Source organism: Homo sapiens, chromosome 2 (assembly GCF_000001405.40).
Source record: "Homo sapiens chromosome 2, GRCh38.p14 Primary Assembly".
Taxonomy (NCBI): Eukaryota; Metazoa; Chordata; class Mammalia; order Primates; family Hominidae; genus Homo; species Homo sapiens.
Genome location: NC_000002.12, coordinates 73,156,093 through 73,167,388, shown reverse-complemented (window position 1 = coordinate 73,167,388; position 11,296 = coordinate 73,156,093). Strand labels below are relative to the sequence as shown.

Here is an 11,296-nt window from a genome sequence, read left to right as displayed (position 1 = left end):
GGTGTGTGCCTGTAGTCCCAGCTTCTTGGGAGGCTGAGGTGGGAGGATGGCTTGAGCGCAGGAGATTGAGGCTGCAGTGAGCTGTGATCATGCCACTGCACTCTAGCCTGTCTCAAAAAAAAAAAAATCTCTCTTTGGTTAAAAATGCCCAGATGGGCTTTCTACATTAAATCCTGACAGGCACAAGAATAAACTAAGCCATTTCTTTCTCCTGCACCCCCACTGCACAGCACCTAGCGTAGGTCTCCCTCTTCCTAAGAAAGCCGCATGTCCCATACCAGCTGACCCGGCACCATGGCTGGCCTCTGAGCTGCCCGAGCACATGCTGGACATTTGCCTCTTTGTGCATCGTTCATTTCCTGCCGTTGCCCTGCTCTGTCCTGTAAGCAGGAAGCTGACTCCTGCAAATTACATTTCCCTTGTCCACATGCACAGTGCCTTGTCCACTGGTTTCTTGTTGGGTTCAACCAATGCAAAGCACTGGTGAGAAACCGGAGGGTGAGAGACGGGGAAGGCCAGAGTATTTCCTGTCCTCTCTCTGCTTCCAGTGGCATCTATTTTGTGGAGCCAGCTTCTGCCAGGCAACACCTGCACCACGGCCTCCCAGCTCCCAGCCATTGGCCCCTCCACAGTTAAAGCTCTGCCCTGGCACCCCAGCTCCTGGAGTCATGTAAATACTATCTCCCTGCTCTGACTGTCTAGATCTATGGGTAGTAGCAGCTTCCTGAAATTGCTAATCTTCGAGTTGCCTCACCCTCCCCTGTTTTCGGCTTTTCCAACACTGTTGTAACTGGGTTCTCAAATGAAATCACCTCTCTAGTGAGCTACCTGGTGAGCTGGGTTTTCCTGACAGTGTGGTTCCTCCTATCTGCTACAAGTGGGGTTCGGGGCCTTGAGCCACGTCTTCCCTCCTTGTGGACACAGTCTGTCTCCCCTGCGGCCTCCCTGGCCATTTTGTCCTGGCCCAGCCTGAAGAAACATCTGGGCAAAATCCTTCGGGGTCCCTTTCCCCAGCTGAGGAGTGGGGGGGGCGCAGGGGAGGAGCCAGGGCGAACGGCAGCTTTCGCCAACACCTCACTCTTCTCTTCTCGACATGTTTACTCACAGGCTGTCTGGGAAGTGAGAATCCTCCCTAATGGATGTTTCACCCAATTAAATAATTAACTCCAAGTGTTGCTAAGCATCCTCGCCTCTCGCCTTCCAGTCCTGGAGGCGTCCTCATGCCAGGCCGCGGCTGCTGCTGAGACAAGGAGCCTAGCGGGAGGAGCCAGGAGTGGGGGACAGTGCCCCTGATGCTTCTGTACAGGATGAGGGAGATAAATGCACCTGAGAGGGAAGGTAAGGAGGGCTGTTCAGATAGGAGGCTGAGGGGAGGCTGAGACTCACAGGAAGTGGCATTAGAACCTTCTGGAGCCTTTCTATTGAATATTAAGTCCTTGAAGGTTTCCCTCTCCCCCAATTCTTCCCATACGCCACAGCAGGGTCCTTGTTCCTTCAAAGAAGGGGAAAGGAAGGGACACAGGCTTCTTCCTAATGGGTAGTCTTGCGTTATGAGGACTTACAGAGCTGAGCTGCTCTACTAACCAGACAGTCACATAAGGAACCCCGAGGGGAGAGGCTAAATACATTCATACTGTGGAATATCACTCAGCCGTTAAAAAGAACAAGATACATTTTCCTGTATAGATAGGAAAAGATCTGTAAGATACTATAAAGTGAAAAAATGCAGATACCAGTAAATGCAGTTTAATTTAAGTAAAAATAATGTGCACATGTATGCATATACTTGTCTACCTGTGGAAGGAGGACTGGAACTAGGGACACCAAACTATTCCAAGGGGTGACCTCTGTGCCTTAAAATGGAGTGGGGAAAAGGCTAGTGCTCTCATTTTATTCTCTGCACCCCTGAAATGCCTGATTCTTGCAAGAATGTGTTATTATATCACTGCTACAATTAAAACAGCAATAGAGGCCGGGCGTGGTGGCTCATTGCTTGTAATCCCAGCACTTTGGGAGGCCGAGGCAGGTGGATCACCTGAGGTCAAGAGTTCAAGACCAGCCTAGCCAACATGGTGAAACCCCGTCCCTACAAAAATACAAAAATTAGCCAGGCATGATGGCAGGTGCCTGTAATCCCAGCTACTTGGGAGGCTGAGGCAGAAGAATCACTTGAACCTGGGAGGCGGAGGTTGCAGTGAGCCGAGATCGTGCCATTGCACTCCAGCCTGGAGGACAGAGTGAGCCGCCGTCTCAAAACAAAAACAAACCAATACCATGAGGAATATGAAAGGAAAAAAAGAAACAACTATGCTCTTAAAAAATGGCACAGGGAAGCATGTGCGAGTTATAGGACAAAGTGAAGAAAATACATTCTTAACCCTAGGGATTTTAGATTCTTGAATCAATATTTTTCTATCATTTTGGCCTCAAATCACAGTAAGAAATAGCTTTTCATCAGATCCCAGTATACATATGTATACTTGTATTTATGTATTTGAAACAGACTTTCCAGTAAATAATGCTCGCATTTAGTATGCATCATGTACCCTGGTATTTTCTATTCTTTTCTAATTTTCCCTTTAAAAATACTGGTTGTGGCCAGGTGCAGTGGCTCATGCCTGTAATCCCAGCACTTGGGGAGGCAGAAGTGGGCGGATCACCTAAGGTCAGGAGTTTGAGACCAGCCTGGCCAACATGGTGAAACCACGTCTGTACTAAAAATACAAAACAAAATTAGCCAGGTGTGGTGGCAGATGCCCATAATCCCAGCTACTCAGGAGGCTGAGGCAGGAGAATCATGTGAACCCAGGATACAGAGGTTACAGTGAGCCGAGATCATGCCACCACTGCACTCCAGCCTTGGCCACAAGAGCAAGACTCCAACTCAAAAAATAAATAAATAAATACTGGTTGTGACTTTATTTTATTTTATTTTTTGAGGCAGGGTCTCACTCTGCCACCCAGGCTAGAGTGCACTGGTGCAATCTCAGCTCACTGCAACCTCCACTTCCCAGGTTCAAGTGATTCTCCCACCTCAGCCTCCCAAGTAGCTGGGGTTACAGGCATGTGCCACCACGCCCAACTAATTTTTGTATTTTTAGTAGAGATGGTGTTTCACCATGCTGGCCAGGCTGATCTCGAACTCCTGGCCTCAAGTGATCCGCCCACCTCGGCCTCCTAAAGTGCTAGGATTACAGGTTTGAGCCACCGCGCCCGGCCTAAAAATATTGGATTGTAACCTTCTACATAGAGTTCATGAGCATTAATGGGTTCCAGACAGCAGTTTGAAGAAACTGCCTCAACTGATGGGGCTCTGGGCCCTCTTGGGAAAGGTTTGACCACCAAGTTCTCAGGGACCCAGCGGGTCAGGAGGGGATCCTGTAAGTCTTTTCAGCAAGTCCCTGAAGGAATGGGGAGAGTGGTCCTTCAGGACATGACCACTGGGTGGCAGTGCTGGCTGCATTTCCCACCAATCCAGGCACCAGCCCAGAGGCTTTTTCTTTTAAACCACTTAGAAACCAGAATTGAACCATTGCCTACCTCCCACCCCCACCTCCACGGCGCTCCTGAACTGGAAAGCATTACAGATGGCTCCCAAATAGGAAAAAAAGAACCCAAAGAACTTTGGATGAGAGGCCCAGACCTCCTTCTCCACTAGTGTAGCCCAGTCAAGAATGGAAGCTAATCTTACCCAGGTCCAAAACCCAAGTCCTCACTACTGGCTGTGTGGCCTTGGGCAAGTTCCTTAACCTCTCTGTGTCTGTTTCCTCATCTGTAAAATGGACATAGATAATAATACCTCCTTCCCTCAAGGAGTTGTAAAGGCAAAGTGAGCCAGTACATGCAGAGCCCCACACTCAGAGCCTTAGAGCCAGTAGTAAGTAATAACAAACTGTCATTAGACTGCTTTCCCTTCTGATTCCACCCTCTGTGGAGGTGGCATGGCATTGGGAAGTGCTTTAGGGGTCAATTAACTGCAGAAATGAATGAAACACTGGAGAGCCCATTTCTACCCCCTCCCCTAGGAGAGCAGTAGGCTGGAGCCGATGGGGTGAGAGGTGGTGGGGGTGAGGGGAGGTGGGGTGTGGCGGGCTCCGATGGAGCTGATAAGCCACGTCTCCCAACTCCCACTCCCTGGTGACCGAGCCCTGAGCCCTGGGGCCTGTGGCCTGGCCGCTGCCCCCTGACTTATCCTCTCCACCCCACCCCCGACACCCCCCAAACCCTCCCACCCCTTGGGAGCCAGGCCTATCTCTGCCATCACTGGCCCGAAAGCCAGGCCTACCCTTCCCCTGACCCCGTGGGGCGGGGCAGGAGACAAACTGAGCCCTGTAGACCCAGGGACGGCTCATTCCACCCTCTCTGTGTCACCTTAACTTCCCCTTCCTTCCTCCACACCTCCTCTAGGTGCACGGCTCCTGCCCATGGCCAAGGCTGCCTCCTCCGCAGGGCTCTGGATCCCCGGGTCAGCCTCCTCTCCCCAGCAGCCTCCCATTTCCCTTCTTCCCTCTCTGGCCCCACTGAAAAGCATCCTTAACGCACCCCTTCCCAAAAGTCTTCCCCTAACTCGAGTCCCTTCTTCATGCACACCCAGAGCCAGACCTCTCTCCACCATCATTGACCCCAAGGCCAGCACCTTCAATTTCCTCATCTTCTGAATATTAGGGCATGATGCTATCTATTTAGAAACCTGTAAACAGCTTCCAGAATATTAAAAGTATACCTTGGAAAGGGCCACTTTTCTTCTTTTGAAATTGCCTAATTTGACATAAATAATGCAAGGGTGGGAAACAAAGAACCAGAGAAGTAACCGCAACGTTAACATTTAAACACAGTAACATTCACTCTTTCTGGTATACAGGGTTATGAGTTTAGACAAATGAGTAGAGCCCTGGGCCACTACCAAAATCAAGATATAAGACAGTTCCATCCTTCCCCCACATTTCCTTTACTGTCTCATTTCAGTCAACTGCTCTTCCACCCCTAAGCCCTGGCAACCACTCATCTGCTCTCCTTCCCTATAGTTTCACCTCTTTCAAAAATGTTATCTAAGTGGAATGCTACAGTATGAAGCCTTTTGAGTCTGCATTGATTCAGTGCATTTGCAAATCATTCATATTATTGCATTGATCAATAGTTTGTTCCTTTTTATTGCTGAGTAGCGTTCCATTGTCTGTATGTACTATGGTCGATTTACTCATTACCGGTTGACAAATATTGGGTAGTTTCCAGTTGGGGGCTGTTATAAATAAAGCTGCTATATGTACATTGGTGTACAGGTTTTTGTAAAAATATACATGTTTGGACAAGCATGGTGGCTCATGCCTGTAATCCTAGCACTTTAAAATCCCGGTTATTTATTTTATTGTATTTATTTTTGAGACAGAGTCTTGCTCTGTCGCCCAGGCTGGAGTGCAGTGGCGCGATCTCGCCTCACTGCAATCTCTACCTCCTGGGTTCAAGAGATTTGCCTGCCTCAGCCTCCCGAGTAGCTGAGATTACAGGTGTGCACCACCATGCCCGACTAATTTTTTTGTATTTTCAGTAGAGACGGGGTTTCACCATGTTGGCCAGGTTGCTTGAACTCCTGACCTCAGGTAATCCCCCTGCCTTGGCCTCCACAAGTGCTAGGATTACAGGCATGAGCCACAGCACCCAGCCCCAGTTATTTTAAAATAAAGAGCAAGTCCATTTCCCAGTCTTCTAGCTCTCCATTATTTTTTTCTTTGCATTTTTCTAAAGATATTTTATGTGTGCCTGTGTATGTGTCTGAATGTGTATGTGTGAGAGAGAGTAAGAAAGAATGTCGTCTTTTTGGAGCTCTGATCAACTTCCTGCCCATGCTGTGAGACCAACATCCCAAAGCTGACTTAGCATCTTGTTACCCCCAAGAGCTGTTCCTCACCTGCCTGCCCCAGCTTTGTTTTTGGAGCTGCCATGCTGCTAGGAACCTGAAAGACTTTGTGTCCCTCATCCCATATTCATAAATGTACTGTTGTCCCTCTCTTCTACCACTAATTTGTCATCAAAAGTTCTCCTTCCCAAAATTTTTCCAATAATCAACCACCCTAGGGTTGGGCTGCTCTTAACAATACAGGATAACTTTTACTGACCATTTACTGTGTGCCAGGCACTGTTAAGAATTGCCAACCAGTTGTAAATTTCACACAAACTTACAAGAAATGTACTATTAGCACTTTATAGTGAAGATTTGGTAACACAGCTAAGGATGGACTCAGGATTTGGTCCCAAGCAGACTACAGCCTGTGTATGTGGCAATGCCCTTGCACCCTCTTACTCATTGAGATTGTCTTATAACAGGTTGTCTGGCCTTTAGACTTTACCAAATCTAACCTTCACTCCGCTCACAGATTGATCTTCCTAGAGCAGGGGTCTTCACCCCCAGGCCACTGACTGGTATGGGTCTGGTGGCCTGTTTGGAACCAGGCCACACAGCAGGAGGTGAGTGGTTGGCCAGTGAGCATCACCACCTAAGCTCTGCCTCCTGTCAGATAAGAGGCCTTGGATTCTCATAGGAGCGCGAGCCCTATTGTGAAGTGTGCATGCGAGGGATCTAGGTTGCTTGTTCCTTATGAGAATCTAATGCATGATGATCTGTCACTGTCTCCCATCACCTCCAGATGGAACCTTTTAGTTGCAGGAAAACAAGCTCAGGGCTCCCACTGATTCTACATTATGGTGAGTTGTATAATTATTTCATTATATATTGCAATGTAATAATAATAGAAATAAAATGCATAATAAATGTAACATGCTGGAATCATCCTGAAACCATCCCCCCTACCCTTCCATCCATGGAAAAATTGTCTTCCACGAAACTGGTCCCTGGTGCCAAAAGTTTGGGGACTGCTGGACTAGAGCACTGCTCTAATTACACAACTCTGATCAAAAGCCTTCACTGCTTCCAAGGAAAGCCCCGATGCCAGACTTGCCATTCAAGGCCCTCCATGCATGGGGCCCAACCTGCCCATCCTACCTCCCATGGGCACCCCACCCTCCAGCTGTCCTTGGTGTGACCCTCTCATTCTCGCATCTTCATCTCAGCTCATGCTGAGGAGTGCCATCACCCCTTGGCACCCCTCATCTTGGCGAGGCCAAATCCAATCCAGGCTTTGTGGTTCAGATGAATGCCGCTTCCTCCAGAAAGCCTCCACTTCACAAATAGTTGGCATAAAAAAGAAATACTGTCAATTTGTACCCCAAAACTTCTTTCCTCTCTCTTAACATGAATCCCATCCTCTGTGCTCCCACCCCAGCCATTCTTACCTTCTCAGAGGTCTCATTTTAGCAACTACGCTGGACTGAAACCAGTTTGGCCAAAATCAAGCTGAATAGCATAACAATTTTATTGATTTATTTATTTAGAGACGGAGTCTCATTCTGTCCCAGGCTGGAGTGCAGTGGTACGATCTCCATCACTGCAAACTCCGCCTCCTGAGTTCAAGCGATTCTCCTGCCTCAGCCTCCTGAGTAGCTGGGGTTACAGGTGCCCACCATCAAGCCCAGCTAGTTTTTGTATTTTTAGTAGAGATGGGGTTTCACCGTGTTGGCCAGGCTGGTCTCAAACTCCTGACCTCAGATGATCCACCCACCTCGGCCTCCCAAAGTGCTGGGATTACAGGCATGAGTGAGCCACTGCACCTGGCCAATTTTATTTTTTAAAAAGAAAATATTCCACAGTCATTTAAAATTTATTTACTTATTTCTGGATAGTTAATAGATTTACACTGTTAAAAATTCACTTTTTAAAAATTTTTTTGAGACAAGGTCTGGCTCTATTGCCCAGACTGGAGTGCAGTGGCACGATCTCAGCTCACTGCAACCTCTGCCTCCTAGGCTCAAGCCATCCTCCCACCTCAGCCTCCCGAGTAACTGGGACTTCAGGCATGCACCACCATGCCTGGCTAATTTCTGTATTTTTTGTAGAGATGGAGTTTTGCCATGCTGCCCAGGCTGGTCTTGAACTTATGAGCTCAAGCTATCTGCCCGCATCAGCCTCCCAAAAGAGCCACCTGCCCAGCCTCAGAAATCCTTAAGATAAAGTGAGTACAAAGTAAAATCCTCCCTTCTTCCCGTCTCCCAGCCACACAGTTCTTTTCCTCACAGGAACCAAATTTTATTAGTATCTTATGTATTTTCTCAGAGATCTTTTGTTGTGGTAGTTTTATTTTGTTTTGGTTTGGTTTGGTTTGGTTTGGTTTGGTTTGGTTTGGTTTTTGAGATGGAGTCTCTTGTCGTCCAGGCTGGAGTGCAGTGGCATGATCTCGGCTCACTGCAACCTCCGCCTCCCAGGTTCAAGCAATTCTCCTGCCTCATGTTGTGGTAGTTTTTAAATATCTCACATTTATTTGATACTCCTCCCTTCAGGAGATGGCACTTACTTCCACTCCCCTTGAGTTTGGGTTGGACTTAGTGACTTGCTAATAGAATAATCACACATAAACATTCTATTCTAGAATCTTCTAGAATAGAATATTCTATATTAGCAAATAGAATATAGTGGATGTGGTGGTGATACAGGCGTGAGCCACTGCCTCCGGCCTGGAATTCTGGTTGTTCTTTATGTAAGGTATTTTCTGACTTTTGCTGAAATGAGTATGTATTACTTCGTGATAGAAAAAAATGATAAAACATAAAAAAGAAAATATTTAAGATTATATCATTAGATATGTTTGTTCCAGTTAGTTACTTACTGTTAGAACATCATTTTGTAATAAATCTCATCTTGTTAGGCATTTATTTAGCCTAACCAATCCCTTATTGGACATGTAAGTAATTCCATCTTATCTTAAACCACATGACTTTTGCCCACATGTTAGACTAGCTATTCAATCACCCTTCTTTTGTCCTTCTTCTGCAACCTCCCTTCACAGGTTTTGGTTCCTTCCCATCTGCAATTAAACCCCCTCGGGTCTCTCCCATTAAAACAAACCACACCCCTCTTTGCCCCTTTCTCACTCCTAAACTCTGGTTCCACCTTTCTTGAACACTGGTCAACCTTTTGCCTTCCTCCATTGAGCAGAAGTGTTCTCCTGATCTCCTTGTGGCTAAGGTAACAGACACTTCTCAGGTCCCTTATTACTCAAGGACGCCATGCCATTGCTCCTTCCTGAAGCACTGTCTCTGGGTTTCCAGGTCACACACTCTCTCCCTACCTGTCTAACTGCTCCTCTGTGGGCTCCTGTGCTTCAGAGCCAGTGACCTTCAGGTTTGGCTCTGTTGTCCTCTCCTCACTCTACACTCCCTCTCTGGGGGCTGGCTCACCCCCATGGCTTCAGTGACCTCTGTCTGTCGAGGGCTCCCAACAGATCCCATCAGCTCCCTGCTGTCCCCCCTAGTGCTAACCTGAATAGCAGCCACCTAATGAGCCCCTCGCTGGGAAACACCCCACACACTCAGCTTGTCCCACGCAGGACCCATCATCGCACACCCCTAGCCTCACTCAATCTGTTCTTCCCTGTTCCCATCAGTTTCTCAGGCTAGAAGCTTGGGGGAGACTCCCCCCTCTTCCTCAGACTCCACACAGAGCCTGGCACTCAGGAGCAGTCAATAAATATTAACATTTATTTAGTGACTTTAATCAACCACCACATCCAGATGACTTTATCTTCTAAAAGGAGTCTGTTGGCCTCCTTCCACCATCTTCGCGTTTGTTACTTGTTTATCTCTCCATGAGGCTATGGGATCCATTTTAGAAGCGGCAGAGGTGTGAACCCAGGACACCTTAATGAGATGCTACGGGAGGCCGGGCGCGGTGGCTCTCGCCTGTAATCCCAGCACTTTGGGAGGCCGAGGTAGGTGGATCCCGAGGTCAGGAGATCGAGACCATCCTGGCTAACACGGTGAAACCCCGTCTCTACTAAAGCTACAAAAAAATTAGCCGGGCGCGGTGGCCGGCGCCTGTAGTCCCAGCTACTCGGGAGGCTGAGGCAGGAGAATGGTGTGAACCCGGGAGGTGGAGGTTGCAGTGAGCCCAGATTGCGCAACTGCACTCCAGCCTGGGCGATAGAGCAAGACTCCGTCAAAAAATAAAATAAAATAAAATAAGATGCTACGGGAGAATGAAATCCAGGCTGCTTTCAGGGCGTCGCGCTGCGGGACTTCACGCTGTCCCCCAGGCGTTCCCCCTTCCATCCAGGAGGAAGAGCGCCTTTTGAGTTGCACGTCCTCAGGGCTGCATCCGAAGGAGCAACTCTTTCTAAGCACCCGAAGGACAGGTGACAGCTGTCCACTCCCAGAGTCCAGGTCCGGCAGGCTGCACCCCCCTCACACTGGCTCAGTCTGACTGAGCCCAGGGGCGTGGGGGTCTTCTGCTTTCGGGAGGTACCCCTCAGGCTGTGAGCTAGGGGAGGGAGGGCCGTGCGTCTTGTGGATCAGTGGGGGCAGTGAGGTTGACCTGGGTCTGGGAAAGGAATGATGACCGACTTTCTCACTGCTCGCAGCCCGCAATGGGGGCGGCCTTCCTGGCTGGAGCCAAGCGACCTGATTTCTTGGAGAGAAGGAAGTCAGAACCCTGATCTGGCAGCGCCTCCGGGAGCCGAGCTGCTCACTGGAGTGGGAGTTCTGGGACAGCAGCAGAGGGCGCCCTCGGTTCATCACTGCGCCCTGCGGAAGTTGCCTGGTGGGGACTTGGGGGCGCACGTTCCAGTGGCAGCGGAACAGAGGGGTAGCGCCAGAAGACTGCAAGCCCCAGTCAGGAGACCAGGCAGGAGGCTGGAGCATGAGACCTGGTAGGAGGCAATCAGTGTTGTACAAAGACCGTGACAGCGGGGATGGAGCCGGGATAGGAGTTTGGATGTGATGGGAAAGTTCTGATAAGCCATTGCATGTGGGGAGCAACTGTGAGGGCCTGGGGAGCTGACTTCCACCTTTGTCTCCTGGATGACATCCAGAACTCGGATAGGAATACAGAAGAGGGGCCGTGTGGTGGCGGTCAGGGAAAGTGAGTAGGGTTTTGTGGAACGTGAGGTCCTGAGGACATCCTGTAGGAGATGTGTACTGGCAATTGATAAATAATTCTGGAGCTCTGGGGAAAGGTTGGGGTTAAATATGCAGATTTGGGATAATCATTTTGTGTGCAACCATGCAAGCTATGAAGTGGCTGAGAGTTCCCAGGTTTCGGGATAAAGGCAGGTCCAAGGCAGAAGCACTGGGGAGCATCAGCATGGGAGGGACTGGGGGTGTATATACCAGAGAGGTGGGAGAGAACCCAAGGGAGCGTGTGGTGAATGCAAGGGGCAGGAGAGTCTAAAAGTGGATGAAGCCGGGCGTGATG

General features: G+C 49.0%; 1 annotated feature.

Annotated features, from left to right (window-relative positions):
* Positions 3,355–3,549: a silencer, noted in NCBI's record as "fragment chr2:73390968-73391162 (GRCh37/hg19 assembly coordinates)". NCBI's record gives its function as "represses an EF-1alpha promoter that drives an FKBP-Casp9 reporter gene in an ReSE screen in K562 erythroleukemia cells {active_cell/tissue: K562}" and the evidence as "EXISTENCE:reporter gene assay evidence [ECO:0000049][PMID:32094911]".